The sequence below is a fragment of the Homo sapiens genome, chromosome 4 (genome assembly GCF_000001405.40).
Source record: "Homo sapiens chromosome 4, GRCh38.p14 Primary Assembly".
NCBI lineage: Eukaryota > Metazoa > Chordata > Mammalia > Primates > Hominidae > Homo > Homo sapiens.
In genome coordinates this window covers 101,183,103-101,199,187 of record NC_000004.12, presented here as the reverse complement: position 1 = coordinate 101,199,187, position 16,085 = coordinate 101,183,103, and the positions used below count along the sequence as shown (strand labels likewise).

The 16,085-nt window shown below is 36.5% G+C and overlaps 1 protein-coding gene across 3 annotated transcripts in view, besides 1 other annotated feature; it reads left to right on the top strand.

Annotated features, from left to right (window-relative positions):
* The window catches only part of PPP3CA (protein phosphatase 3 catalytic subunit alpha), a 324,109-nt gene that overhangs the window by 148,339 nt on the left and 159,685 nt on the right, over window positions 1-16,085 (top strand). For all 3 annotated transcript variants that reach the window (NM_001130692.2, NM_001130691.2, NM_000944.5), the window contains exon 2: window positions 3,072-3,272. In NM_001130692.2, the coding sequence (NP_001124164.1) occupies window positions 3,072-3,272 (201 nt within the window). The remainder of the gene's footprint in view (window positions 1-3,071; window positions 3,273-16,085) is intronic.
* Window positions 7,102-7,396: a silencer, noted in NCBI's record as "tiled region #422; K562 Repressive non-DNase unmatched - State 24:Quies". NCBI's record gives its function as "represses a minimal TATA promoter and a strong SV40 promoter by Sharpr-MPRA in K562 cells {active_cell/tissue: K562}" and the evidence as "EXISTENCE:reporter gene assay evidence [ECO:0000049][PMID:27701403]".

The following is a 16,085-nucleotide window of genomic DNA, read 5'->3' as shown; positions in this document are numbered from 1 at the left end:
CTAGGTGAATAGAGAAAGCAAATAAATGTGACCTTTGTAAGGCTGGTATGCTTTTTATGAAGCCAAAAGGTGCACAAATACACAAATATTAGCCCAGTCTTATTTTTTGTCCTAGAAAACTTTTCACTGGCTGGCGGCATCTCTGTGTTCAGTCTTTGGCATCATTACTGCTCATCTTGGTTCCCTGCAGGCTTTGCCATCTGTTTAACTGGTAAAGGGCCCCGTCTCATCAGGATCCCTTCCATCCAATTGGAAATAGAGCCCTCTGATTGGCCTTTTTCCTTTCCTTTGTCCCCCCTGTTTATTTGGAACCAGCGCCAATATCTCAGAGCAGGTGTCTTTACCTTAGCCAGTTACCTTAGGATTAGCAATTACTGGAAGGTAAAAGATCTGCAGTGGAGGGTGGAGCATCTGTTATTGCAGTGATCTTGGCCTTGGATGGAGTCTAGGGACTTGGAGAAAGACTAATTCATGAAGGTGAGGCACTCCCTGGGGTGCTCTCCTGTTGCCTCTCACCTTCGTAAATGCTTTGGCACTTTCAGATTTAATTCTGTGATCTATCTTAAGTTTAATCAGGCCAGCAAGTGCATGTGTGGCAGAGACCCACTGCTTTTATCTGCCTGACAATATATTAGCCTCCTTCCCTTCTGTGCTCCTGTGATTCTTGCCTGACAGTTATGCAGAGCCACTTAAACCTTCACTGTTGCCTAAAACACCTTGGAAAATCATTTTTTAAAAATTCAGCTCTTGCCCTTACCACAAGCATCCTTTTGAAGTTTACCCCTTTCTAGCCCCCAGCCCATATCTTGACTCATGGTCTGCAGCCTGGGGAATTTGGGGGAGTTGCCAGGTAAGATATTTTCTAATCTCAAAACATACATAAAGACCTGCATAAAGAAATGTGGCTGTTGAAAAACATCTACATGTTTTCCTAACAAGCATACTCTATCAGTCAAGCGAGGAAAAGCAGGGAGAGCAGAGGAAAAAAAATAGAATAACCCCCAAATGCCTCAAATTTAATGACCTAATTTCCTCTTTTTCTCCCCTCCTTGTTTAATCTTCAGATTTCTTTTATTACTTACTATTCTTTGGCATTATACATTTTGTCTTTTGTTTTTGTATTATGTATCTATTGTACTATAAGCTACTCAAAATAACTTTTGGAAAATAAAAGGAGTATTTGTGAGAAATAAATATCTCTCAGTATTAGAATTTCAATTCTAAGAAGTGATTTATTAATCATTTTTACTTACTAAGCCCTATCGAGTACTTTCTGGGAAGTAATGTAGTTTATTTGTTACAGGTATTCTGGCATCAGACTGCTGGGGTTTAAACTCACCAAGTTATACACATAAATCACTAGATAATTATCTTGGGCAAGGTGCTTAATATTTTTGAGCCTCAGGTTTCTCCTGTACAGTAATGTTATGGGGGCTAAATAAGTTTATATATAAACACATGTATGTATGCCTTACTCATCTTACAGTTTTATCGTTGTTTCTGATTTTATTACCTAAACGATGCCTGGCATAAAATAAATACTCTATAAATATTAGCTACTACTGTTACTATTTACTCTAGTTAGTATAACAATCCTCAGATAGATGTAATCCTCACTTCACAGGTGAGGTAACTGGAGCCGAAGAAGGTTATTTAACCTGCTCAAGGTCATAAGCTGGTGAGTGTGCAGAGTGCAAGGTTCGCACCCAGGTTTGTCTGACCACAAAAGCCTCCTGCTCAGCCACCAAATCTGCCAAGACTGCTTCAATATGACAGCATAGTGAAATAGATGTGGCTGGATTGTCCAGAAAATCATGCTTGCATCCATCTGTACAGGTTCATTTCCCAGTTTTTCTTTTCTGTTAGTTATAATTTAACTCGGGATTACAAATCTATGCCATTAGATTAACACAATTTTTTGGCATAGGTCTCCTGTAAGTCTTGCTTCTTTGAGAGACACTTTTAGGAAGGGAGAGGGCCAAGTTTATTCCGTTAACATCAAGTGCTTCTCCTGAGAGAGGAGTCATCCAGTGGAGATGCTGTATGTCTGTTTCATAATGCACACGGCACATGAAAGATACATGGGATGATGTTTATGCTGCTTGCCAGATACTTCTAGTTGTCCAGTGAATGAACCATCATGTGAAACAGAGAAATAATGAGTTTTTAAATAGCTTATTGGCCATTTATTGCAAATTTAACCTTTGTGGTACCATCTCTGACCATAGACCTTTGGATGCAGGGCAAGCTAGAGGAGTTTAGTGAATGTCCTCTGGCGGAATGAGTGAATGAATGTACTCACAAATGTAGAGGAAGGCATTAGCTACAAGAGAGCTTCTTGCTGTTAAGAAGATGCGGGTGAGTGGAAGAGAGAATGATTGCTTCCAAGCCTGAGCAATAATTGGACTTTGTCACTGTGTCATTTTTAAAAATACCTGTATCTCGTCCCTGACATCCTGATCTTTCACTTTTAAGGAGGTCCCTTCAGTGAGAGCATACACACTCACCTGCAAATCCTGATTTCCTTATCAGTAGTCAGTGCACTTTTGCCTTTTTGCTTTCAGATTCCTGCTGTTTTCTTATACAGTGAGTAGATTAGTTATCTCAGATGTGACTTTAGTTAGAGCAGCAAATCTGGTTGGGTAGACCTTTTCCCACTCCTCTAATCCCAGTAGAGGAGCCTGTTTTCTAGTGGAGACCCATCTTTGCACAAGTTGGTTATGGTTGGATGTATAGGAACTATTTTCTTTCACAGAGTTGATTATTGTTGAACTGAAAACTGCTTTTCATTCCTTTTCTTTTTAACTTAATCAGGATATTATAGATGCAAGAGATAGTACTGGATGAACAAGAACTATCAATTTTGTTTAAGCAATCACATTATATCTAGAATCAAAGGAAGGATGCAGTTCTTAATTTTTGATAGATAGCCCTTGATCATATTTTAATTCAGCCACTCTAAAAATATTATATTAGTTGGTTTGTGATGAGGATGGATATTTGGTGGTTATTATTGCATTGTTTGTTGTTGAGTTTTGGCTAATGTAATAATTAGACCTTTCTTCTTTCAGCTGTTCCATTTCCTCCAAGTCACCGGCTTACAGCAAAAGAAGTGTTTGATAATGATGGAAAACCTCGTGTGGATATCTTAAAGGCGCATCTTATGAAGGAGGGAAGGCTGGAAGAGAGTGTTGCATTGAGAATAATAACAGAGGGTGCATCAATTCTTCGACAGGAAAAAAATTTGCTGGATATTGATGCGCCAGTCACTGGTAAGTCCTGAGGAGGGAGGTTGCCCACTTGTATACACATTTTGTTGTTTATAGCATGAAATCAAAAGTCCTAGTTACCAGTGAGTCTTCAAATACCTTACCCATCATAATCTTTTACTGTTGAATCTATACATTAGAGTAGTAAGTATATTATACATATATACACATATTTTCATGTGTTAAATATCTGTAAGATTGCAATGCTCTAAAAAGTGGAATGCAACTTAGAGATGGTGATGATTTCTGAAGTGATACTTTAAGAAGTGATATTGTTTTTAAGTAGAAATACTAAGTGGCACACAGGATATTCATTGGGAAAGATTAGACAAAGTATCCCGAGACTTCCACAATGGTTGAGTAAGGGTATAAGTTAAAACAGTGGTTTTCAAAGTGTGATCCCCAGACTGATAGTATCATCATCATCACCATTTGAAACTTGTTAAAATATGCATTCTTAGGCCCCACTCCAGCCTACTGAATCACAGTACCTGGGGTGAGACCCAACAATCTGTGTCTTATCCAGCCCTCTGTGTGATTCTGATGCACATTAAAGTTTGAGAAGCACTGAACTTTCGGAAGAAGGACACATTTTTTTCTCTTTTGCCCGTAGCATTTTGTCCCTACAAAATATCTTTTTTTTTTTTTTTTGAGATGAAGTTTCACTCTTGTCACCAGGCTGGAGTGCAATGGTGCAATCTCGGCTCACTGCATCCTCCACCTCCTGGGTTCAAGCAATTCTCCTGCCTCCACCTCCCGAGTAGCTGGGATTATAGGTGCCATCATGCCTGGCTAATTTTTCTATTTTTGTAGAGATGGTGTTTCACCACGTTGGCCAGGCTGCTCTTGAACTCCTGACCTCAGGTGATCTGCCCGCCTCAGCCTCCCAAAGTGCTGGGATTACAGGCATAAGCCACCACTCCGGGCCTTTTTATTTTTTATTTTATTTTTCGTGTTTTAGTTTTGTTATTTCTTATGGTCAGATACATATTTTGTGTAAGTATGCTTCTCTTAGGCCATAAAAATTAAATATTGTCAAAAAATTTTGTATGGGCTGGACGCGGTGGCTAACTCTTATAATCCCAGCACTTTGGGAGGCCGAGGTGGGTGGATTACTTGAGATCAGGAGTTTGAGACCAGCCTGGCCAACATAGTAAAATTCCATCTCTACTAAAAATACAAAAATTAGCTGGGTGTGCTGGTGGGCACCTATAATCCCAGCTACTTCGATGGCTGAGGCAGGAGAATCTCTTGAACCCAGGAGGTAGAGGGTGCAGTGAGCTGAGACTGTGCCACTGCACTCCAGCCTGGGTGACAGAGTGAGACTCCATCTCAAAAAAAGAAAAAAAAATTGTATAGTATACAGCTTCTAATACCAGAGACTTTGGATCTACTCTTTATGGAGTTTGCTTAATTTACAGGTTTTCATTTTTGAAGAAGCTAAAAATATTTTCCTCTTAAATATTATTCTGATTTAGACATAGAATAGTGTTCTTTTTGATATAAAGGGGGCATCTAAAAGTATTTCATATATATTAGTGATTGCTAATTTCTTTTAAAATTATTGGTCTTCAAATGAATATTTGAATTTGACTGTTAAGAAAGAGATAAGCTCTTTTGAGTATCAGACTACACCTTTCTTTATCAAAATATCTTGAATGATTCCCATTCTAGAGAGATTGACATTATTTACATTTTATTTTTGTCTGGCAATGCTATTTTTTCTTATTTGTAATTCAGAAGTATTAACTATGTTTAGGGTCAGGTAGAGGAGGAATTGGCTCGAGGAACATTAACCCAATATTGGACCAGTGGTGAGTAAGTCAAGCCAGAGACTTACTCTGTAAGTTACTGACCGATAACTTCTTTTGTGGAATTCAGAAATAAGCGTAGTAGATATGTAAACTCTCAAAAGAAGTGATCAATATTTTATAATTAAAAAGCCACTACCATATTTTCCTCTAGTCCTTCCCTCCTACTTTTTATTAATAAAAATGTTTCAGTCTCAGATGTTTAGAGAAGAGTTGTACTAACATTTGCCATGGTTTGCCCCCATTTAAGAAAAACTGAGGAATTAATGTCCTAGTTATTGGAAATCTAGATATTCCTTCATTCTTTTAGCATTTTTTAAAGTTAAAATGAACAAAGACTTTCTCTTCAAGTGTTCATAAGACAATGAAAGGTTTGGGTTCATTTAGGATTTTTTTCCCCTAAAAATTCATTATGTTTTATTTTGGAGAAGTCAGAAGGACCAGGAAGCCGCCTAGTCCCCTGACTCCCTGCATCTGTCCGTCTGGAGAGGGAGTAAAGGAGTGTGGACTTGCCCTCACAAAGCGGATTTAGCGTGTGGATTTAGATAGGTGAGCAAACCATCTTCATAGGAGTAGAGATGAAGTTTATCCAGACAAGGGGGCCATGAGGCCAGTTCTGTTTTTTTTTTTCTTTCAGCTAACATGGCTGACTAGACTGGTAGCTGTTTCAGATTTTTAATTTGAAGACTATTTCTGTGTTGCAGACATTTTGTAAAGAAAAGTATTTTTCCTCTTTGACATTTTTTTCCCAAAAAATGTAGTTGAACTTATCTTTGTATTCTTGCAAACACACAAATGGAACGTTGAAAAACTGTGGCCCCAAATCAGTGAGGCAACACATTTTGGTGATCCAATTTAATGAAATGTTTATTATACATTTACCTGGTACAGGTGGTATATATCACATACATGTGAATAAGACCTGGTCTTTGCCCTCCAAGGGCTCAGAATATAACAGGAAAAAATGGAAACAGATATCTAACCAAGCATAAGTACATTAAATTGTTGACTAAATTAAAGGATATAACCTAGGTGTATTCAAGCAAATTAGGAAGTATCCAAGTGGATATAGCTAATTTAAAACCAAAATGTGTTCCTATCTTCTAAATGAGTATTTCCTTGACAGTGCTCCTTGATTATTACATTTCATCTTTGAGTAAAAGAAACTATTAAATAGCTGGGGTCCTACCTGTTGTGAATATGCATTGAGAACTTATTGAAAGTTATGGCTATGGATGATAAAACATATGAGACATAGAATATCCAAGGTCTAGGTAAGGGAGTCAGACACATAAAGAGATAATTACTATAAGTTTTTTAAGAACTGTAATGGAGGTACCTAAAAACTGGTGTGAGAACTCAGCAAAAGGAATGCAGAGAGCCAAGAAAGTATTGACAGATTACATGATATTGAATTGTATCATGTATGATAAGTACAATTGTACTATGTGAAAAAGATGGGGAAGGATGATGTGAGCAGAGATAACAGCACATGGAAGCCACTGGTATTTTTTGTAAAGTGGCTAGTTATGTTCTTTGAGGTTTGCTGTGAGAAGGCAGGGTTTCAGAAGGGTATGAGAGGTGGGGTGGAGATGGGAGGATGAGACTGAGGCTGGAAGGTTAGGGTTAAATATTAATCTCTATAACCAGCACTTACTCTGATACCATTCTATAGGGAATGGGGGTTGAAGGGATCTTTGAGCAGGAGAGTTACATAATCATGTTTGTGGCTGGAATAGTGTCCTGGATGAGATGAGTAGGAAGAGGTGGGGAGGAATTCTTAAGAGTGGGGTGATTAGGAAACTTTCATACTTGTTCAAGGAAGCCATGGCAGGGTAGGGGGATTTAATCCTATTTTTATTACAAGACCTTTTATAAAATGAGTGTTCAAGTTGATTTTAAAACATCTGATTAGTTTGTATTTAAAACGTTAATATCTCTTAAAGTCTTCTTGAAAACAGTAAGATGATTTGTGCAGGGATCCAATTTACATTTCTCCCTGAAGTTCTCATATTTTCCTGTTTTCCTTTCACTTAGCAGAGAACATTCCACTCATTTGTAATGCAAAAGCAGACCGGGAGCTTAGGTTTTTTGAATAGAATGATTTAGAACTCATGTTCTGCTCTCTGGGCAGAGGGGATAGGCCAGCATCAGCTGGGCAAACTGCTAATCTCTCTGGTTTGCCTGTTTCCTGCAGTGGGGGATTTGTCCCTGGGTCAGCAGAGGATTCCCTCAGTGCCGGGGCCTGCCATTTAGCATGTCAGGCAGTTGCCAGGAGAACCCTCTGGCTTTGTTCCTGGATGTGAGAGTGGACTGGTGGCCAAGTTTAAGGTCATGGCAGTCCTTCCCTTACAGCAGCTGACGTCAATTAGGAGAATTCCCCTTGCCTGCACTCTGAGGAGAGTTAAGCAGGGATAGGAATCTGGTGTCTTCTGGGACCTAAAAGATCAGTGTTTATTCTCCTCATAGTGTCATTTGTCACTATGAAGCAATGTGGCCTTAGTTTATATGGAGATAAAATATTTTGTCTGGGGCATTTTGCCCACTTGTGATTTTAGTGGCCAAATCTTTAGGGCCTGTCCTGCAGCCAGAGACCTATTTTGGTACCCAGCCCACTGCTGGCAAGTCAGCACATTTCAGTCCCAGCCTGTGGCAGCCACACATCATTTTGATGTCCATATACTCCTTAATTTCAGCCCTTGGTTAAAAAAGTGATTATATTATAAAAGGTGACTGCATGAGAGCCAAAGTCCTTTGATCTGTTCACCTCTGGTCTTGCAAGGTTGTTCTTGGAAACGCTTTTTACAAATGTGAAAAGGGAGACAGGTGGAGTCAGTGTTTCCAAACTTGACCATAGATCAGAATCACCTGTAGGGCTTCACAAAATACAGATTGCTGAGTTCTGCCTCCAGAGTTTCTGATTTAGTAGGTCTGGAGTAGGGCCTGAGAATTTGAGTATCTGAGTTCCCAGATAATGATGATGCTCTGGATCTGGGACCACACTGTGGGATTCATTGGTTTAAGAACCTAAACTGAAGTCTCATAGCGGGTAAGCTGAAGACCTTGCCTTAAACAGGCATTTATCTACATATCCTATGCTTAGCTATTATACTACACTATTCTACTTCTGCATTGTAGGGTTAAAGTCTTGGGCTTTTGTTCCCGTGACTACAATGTTTTCCTGCTCATTACTGAAGAAAACATACAAAGAATACTGATGCGAAGGGTCCTCAAGAAGTAGAAGAAATAAATTATTTTGACTGTTGATTATAATTTATTATATTTTAAATAAAAAGTGTGTTTCTATAATACAAGCAGGCAGGATGAAACAGAATGCTTGGCATATTTGGGACATAGAGTTTATGTGTGTAGTTTTTCCCAGAAAAAAACATTCGTAGTTCTTTTCTTTACAAGCTCTTGGGGAGTTTACTATAGAAAGTTGCTACTGGAACAGTGTATCAAACAAAAAATGTAAGCCAGGGGCTCAAAATCAGGTATCAGTGAGCTGAGTGGTAATGAATACAGTATTCTATTAAGAATAGCTGAACCATAGTAATTCAGTATTTGTGTGTACGAATCAGTAATACTCTATTAACATCAATAAACATGTAGCGCTATCTATGGGAAACATTTGACAGTCATTACAATTACGTCATGGTTACATGAATAACTGTTTTACTTTAAGACACAGTATACATATCCCTTTTAACATCCCTTTTATGTTCTCATGAATTGGTACTTTTCACAAATAATGACATATTTAAGCACCTTTGGTAAAGCAATGCCTGTTGTTTTCACAGGAAGGTAAACATCCCCAGAATTATTATTCTTAAAATTTGAAAACAATCACTGGCAGTAATAATGCTCTAATTCTTTTGGAGAAGGCTAAAATATATTAAAATCAATACTATCGTGGCTTTAAGAGAAGTGGTGTTTCAGGTAATACTGAAATGCCTCCAGATAAGGAAGGAATATTTTCTTAGGTACTTTAAGGAAAAAACTGTAGATGTTTTCCTTGGTCTACCCAGGTAATACTCATATTTTCAATCTCATCTATGCTATATTCATTTTTATACTCATGTTTCCAATCTTATCCATATTCCATCTTCTCACTGAAGTGTTCCTAATAATTTCAGACTTCATTGATTTTATTCTCTTTCTGAGTCAGTAACATGTATGGACTATAATGAACAGTCTGAAATACCAGTCACTGACTGGTTCCGATCCATGACAAAATTTTCACTGATCCAGAGTGAAAATTTCATTTTCATTTTAGCGAACATGCTTTCTTTTTGTGTATGACACTATGGTGACAGTAGATCATAATTTTTTATAGTTTTTTGGGGGATAAACTGAGTTGTTTTTGTTTTAAAGCTAACACTTGTTAGGTTCTTTTGGTTTTGTTTTTTTTTTTTTTTTTGCCGTTCACTATCATAAACACTGTACTTTTTAACTCTTAGTGTTCACATAACCCTGTGAAAAAAGTACTGTTATCAGTTCCATTCTACAAATGAGGAAACTAAAGCTCAGTGAAATTGTCTATCTTACTATGGTTACCCAGCTACGAAGTGCCAGAATTGGGATTAAATCCCAAGCAGTTCAACTATGTCTATTTCTGTTTTATTTGGGGGTGGAGGTTAATGTTACAGGTTTATGAAGTCATTAAATCTGGAAGTAACCATATGTAACATGACATTAACTGTATTGTCCTGAATAATATTTTTGTTTCATACTGTTATCCTACTAAATGTTGAACATCTGAGGACATAAACATGCATTATGGTTTTGTGGATATTATTCTATTTAAAAATAATTTTAGTATAACTGCACGGCTGATTTGTACATAGTAAATTATGATAATAATATAATGGAAATATACGAAAACCTCTAGAGTATGTGTTTATATATGTGTGTGTTTCTTTGTGTTAGTGTAACCATTTACATAGCAGTTATCTTTTTAGTCTGTTCTGTTTTCCTGAGTTTGTTGATTTTATTGATTTCTGTCTTCTTAGTGGAGCGTTTTGGACACAGACACATGAGATAGTTGACGAACACCCAAGTCTGTTTGGAAGTTGTTTCTTACAGAAGAATCTGTGGTTTAGTGGATTTATAAAATAAAAAGAATATAAATTTTTCATGCAGCTAGTTTACTATTTTGTAAAGTTACTGTCTTGGTATATAAAGTGTAATATTATTAAAAATATAAACTAAATGCTTTTAGGTCCACACCTTGCTAATGGAAAATATATTACCTGAGAGAAGGCCTTCAGGCAGTTCAGTCCTGGCTTTGTGTTTGACCTGGAGGTCAGATAGCTATTCTTCTCCTGTATTTTGTCTGCCTTGCCAGCAGCATCACTGAGCATTGCCTTATGAAGTAACATGAAAGTCTGTGGAATGGTTTGATACCTAAGTCAGTCTGTTGAGGAGGTAGGGAAAAGCCTTCAAAAGAGCCCAATGTTCTTTTCCTCATATTAAACCCTAAAAGGTCTATGTAGCAAACTATATACATATATGTAAATCCATATCTAAAAGAGATAACAAAGTCTTAAGAAGTTACATTTTTAGATCGCGTTCATCATATGAAAATAATATTTATAGCAAAATGTATTTTGAAAAAGTAGGATTATACTGATTATACAATGACAGAAAAAAAATCTTATCCATGAGATAATCAAGTGTTTTTCAGAAATTTTTATGAAACAACATTGTATTTTAATATGAAGAGTAGTAGGAAGAAAAATTTTAGATAGAAATAAGGGAAGCCTCAAATGATTAACCAAGTTTTCTTTTGCCTTGTGCCTCTATTTTTAATGACTTATTTATCTTCATATAAATAGATGTCAAGATCACCATTTTATTTCACTGCTTTTCTTTTCAGATTCATATATTTTTGTCATATTCAAGATAGTATTATTGTTAGTTTTCTCTGGATTTTATGATTTGTGTCAGATATTTTAATACGAAAAGATATACTTGGAATTCATGAACCTGATTCCCAGAAATGCAGTTATTAACTCTCACGATCTCTGAATGTGCTATCTAATTTAAGATGCCATCTGGTGGTATGCATTTGATACACCTAGTTCTTTTAATTGCTCTCAGAATCATACATCCTATATTGCTTATGAAGAATATTTTTGAAATGACATGCAGACATTTGTTTTCATTTCAAACAAAGGATCGTTTGTGTTTCCCTTTCCGTTTTCTCGAAGTAATATGCATGTTTGCTTTGGTCTTTGTTAATAAGCATAATCTGATTCTTTCTTACAAAGCATTATAATCAGGCTGCAAGTTTCAGAACTCAGCTTTGCTCACAGACATTTGTAGAAATTCATTATCCTCTTTAAAATTCTAGTTACATATTTTTCATTTAATTTTAAAAGGTAAAGTTTGAGTGGATATTTGGATACCATTTGGCGAATAAGAGATTCTCAGATAATCAAGCATGAAACACATTATTCATTTGAAATTCTCTTTCTTATGTTTTAAACATTAAAGGCCAACTCCTTCAAAGGTGGACCTTAGCTTAATCTCAACCACTGCTTTGCCTTCTTCATGAGATAAGCTGGTAATATTTATTAAATATATATCAAAGGTAGGTGAAAGCTAGACATTAAATTGCCTGTATTATTGATATAAAATATCCATTCCACTTGAGACTCTGAATTGAGGAAATGTTAAAAATACATGAGAAGATTTTAGCTCCTTAGAAAATAATTTGTGGCTGGTTAGCTTAGTTTATTAAGGACGTGGTGGCAATGAGCCATCTTACAGACTTTTTTCCTCCTCTGTAGCCTGTTTAGAATTCTCAGTTTATTTTCAAACTTCTGGTTCAGTCAGTTTATCTTAAAAAAAAAATGACAGAAATAAGAAGAGGTGATAATAGGAAGTGTGATTTAATCTCTGCTGTGCAGGTCACCTGAGGTGTATCACCTAATGACAGTGCAGCAGTAACTTTATTTTCTCCCTATCCAGCATGGTGTCCACATTAAAATTGTGAATCTCTAAATTAGCATTTTGTGTCTGCCACTTTCTACCTTTGTACCACTCAGCAGGATATTCACCTCTTTAAATCTCAGCTTTCTATCTATTCAGTGGTGTTAGTGTCATGCCTGTCACTCAGAAAGAGTGAAACGCTGCAACCACAGCACAGATATGCCCAATGAGTAGTAAATTTTTGTTGTTATTGCTGTATCTGTTACTATTGTGACCGGTATTGTTGTTATGTATCTGTTACATCAACTGTTGATTCTAGTGTATGGTTTTTGGTGATTAGAAGTATAGACACCTTATAAAAACTCCATTAATTTGGATAATATAGCTTGCAGTTCCCCTTTTGTGGATGTAAGTAAAGACTGAGAGGGCTGTGCTGTGACAGAGTGTGCAGATAGTTCCTCCTAACCACAGCTGTCCCCTACTTACCTTTTCTAAATTCCAAATGAGTTTTAATTCGAAAGAAAATAAATTTTGTTTTCATGAACATATTTTGCGCTATCAGTATATCAATTAGAAAGAAGAAAATGAAAAATAAAAAATGGGAAATATGAGCTATTATATATTAGAAAACTAGAAGTAAATAGCCAAATATATGCAAGGGTGGGCTTTGCTAAAGAGTCCCATGTCAAAGTAATAATTTCTTTATATTTGATGATTGAGAATCATTTGGATGTAAATACATTTTCATTTCATGTTTGGGTAATTGACTTTTTAACAGTTCATGGAACTACCAACAAAGTGTACATTATTTGGATTTTACATTTCCCAAATAATATGCAACTTTAGATTGCTTTCTGACATTTAAATCAGAAAAATGTTGCAGGGATTTTCAGTGAGTTTTTCTCCCTCTCATTGGCAACCCTAAACTATTTGGGGGTATTTCGTTCTATACCTCTTTGTCAAAGCTTTCTAGGGTTTCTAGAAAGCTCAGGCTGTCTTTATAACAATTTCTTAGTATGTTTCAACATGCTAATAAGAAAACACTAGGCAAATATCATTTCAGTTGGGGAAATGAAGAAATTGTAAGTTAAAGGATCATGCGTCAAAACAATATAATATTGATTGGCCTCAAATACGCCTTTATTCTTTTGTACACTATAAAGAAACTTAAACCATTTTTAGATAGGAGCTAATATTTCAGCTTCTGTTTTAAGCAATGAATGAACTCAGCAGTAACTCTGGGAGATAGGTGTTCTTTGGATATCCATGTAATAGATGAGAAGATTGAGACATAGAAAGGCTTACAGAGCTTGCCCAGGGTCATAGACTTAGGCTGTCCACAGCCTGGAGTTCTTGGTTCTAAGGCCATGACCCTTCCATTAAAATATTACTCAAGGCCAGGCAGTCTGGTTCCAGAGCCCAGTGTCTTATGAGGCAGGGAAGGTGGCCATAAACCATTGATTAAAATACTCTTGAATAGGAATTTCTCCTAATATTCTCCACTAATGCTTTGAAACAGGTTTCTAATTGACACCCATGTTTATAAGCATCAAATTATTCCCTCAACATCATGCAACCTGTAAAGAAGGCATGCTACAGGTAGTGAAGTTAGTGAGGTGAAGTAAAAATTAGAATGTTTGAAGAGCTAGTTAATATTTTTAAAGTGAATACATAGTTTTTATTTTCTTTTGTCTTCCCCCACATGACCATGTTTCAAAAGTTTAGCTTTAGAAGTTGCTTTCAAGTACTGTGTTAGAGATATTGGAATCATTTTAAAACAATCTTGAAATCCTTCTAATGCCCCTCAATGAAATTCAGATAATTTACATAAGACCTCAGTTCCTGTTGGTCCTCCAGTGAAGGATGAACCCCAGAATTATTTTCTTCTTCTTCCTTCCACCTCTTTCTTCAAAATTCTCATCAAATAGTATTTATTGTATAACACATAAAAATAACAAAATATTATTACCTCGCAAATCTTGTCTGAAATTTTACTTTTTTTTTTTCCTAGTTAGAAGAATTTTGGCATGCAAGTGCTGAATTATTTTATATATTTGGGCTATCTAAGGAGACAATTTAAACAACTGACTTTAGCATAGGACCAAGTAAAATTTCATGATGGCATTTGACTACCATTTAAAAAGACATTTTGGACCTCCCTTTTGGCTTAACTAAGGCATATAGCTTGCAATTTTTTGCCTCCTGCTCCTTCTTGCATTTCTGTGGGACTGCCGCAGCTCCCCCAGTGACTGATTCCTGCTTGATGCGGCAGTGTGCAGCCATAAGCCCTTGCCTCACCCTGGAATAAAGCACCTAGTTTAGCCCTTCCCTTCTAACTCCAAGTGCTAAAGAATGGTAATTAGCATTCTTTGGACCTTTACTACATGCCTAACAATATACTAAAGGTTTTATATGCTCTGTTGAGCAATCTTGTGAGGTGTAGGTACTGTTGCTATTCCCAAAGTTAGAGAAGGAAATCTGTCTAGTAGATACATAGTGTGAGCTACATGTATAATTTTAAATTTTCTAAGAGACACTTACAAATTTTAAAAGAAACAGGTGAAATTATTTTTAATAATGTATTTCATAACTTCAGCTTTCCAAAATATTTTCATTTCAACATGTAATCAATATAAAATTGTTAATAACATATTTTGCCCTCTTTTTTTTACTAAGTCTTTTACTTCTGATGTTTATTTTATACTTAAGACACATTTCAGTCTGACTATATTTCATGTGCTCAATTGCCACTTGTGGCTAGTAGCTACCATATTAGCACAGTTATAGATAAAGAAGCTGAAGCTTGGCAATAAGAGCCTTAGTAAATGCAGCCGCAGGAATCAAGTGCAGGGAACTGATTCTGGGCCTCAAGCTCTCAATCAGCACAGTATACCATCTCAGGACCTGGATAGTTTCTTCCTTCAACTTACAAGCATCACCTTGTTAGATTCTTCTGTGGCTTTAACTGCCTGTATCACAACTAACGAGCATAGTCAGGTTCCATTCTCTACCTATTTCTTTCTCTTTCAGTTGATCCTGTGGTGTTAGCTCTGTGTCTTTGATCCATTTCCCTGTTGAGTCAAAGGACATAAAATTACAGACCAGTGGAAGTCTATGGGAGTCACTTCTCTTTTTTCTGACCTAGCTACTTTTGTCTTCCCATAATTGTGAGCTTGGGCCTGTAGAATGTATGCACTATTTGCTACTTACAGTTAGAAAGCCTCTGTAACTAGCCATTCCTCATAGTAGTGATTCTCAAAGCAGTGTGGCACAAGGTTCATAGGGTAAGTGTATCATAATTTATGATGAATCAGGTAGGGTTGAGCGATGAGTTATTGAAGCAAGAATGTGGAAAAGCAAAGCAGTGCAATAGCCTTGATAGAGAAAGTCAACAGCTTCCAGTCTGTCTTTCACACAACATCAAATAAAAAAACTTGGATCAAGAAAAGGGATGAGATGCATTGTTCATAATGGTGACACAGTGCCCATTTTATAGCATGTAACTTTGAGAATCAAAATTTTTTTCTAAAATTGCTTTCATATATTTTTAATCACAAATATTTTTGATTTTGAGATATCAAATAGAGTTAAACAGGGCAAAGGATTTTGATAGTTTTCATTAGAGGACATTGTAACACACTATTCTGTAGGATTGAGTTGATCATACACTATTTTATCTCAACCTTCATTCGTCTAGTTTCTATTCTTTCTAAGTGGTACACATGGCCACTCAGCTGAAGACTAAATTTCTTAGTTTCCTCTATCACTATATATGGCTGAGTCACTAAGTTTTTGTCAGTGCGGTATGAGGAAAAGTAGCATGTGTTACTTTCAGATCATGCAACTAAAAATTTTAATGTCTTCCTTGCTTCCCTTTCCCCTTCTTGCCAATACTCTTAGGATGGCAGGAGCTGAAGATGCCATTCTAACCATGGGACAGAGGTCATATGTCAGGTATGGCAGAGCAACAAGACAGAAGGGCCACTGGGTCCCAACATTGTGTACAAGCCATGTTACCTCAAATTGCTTATATCTAAAGAAATAAGCTTTTATCACATTTAAGCTATTG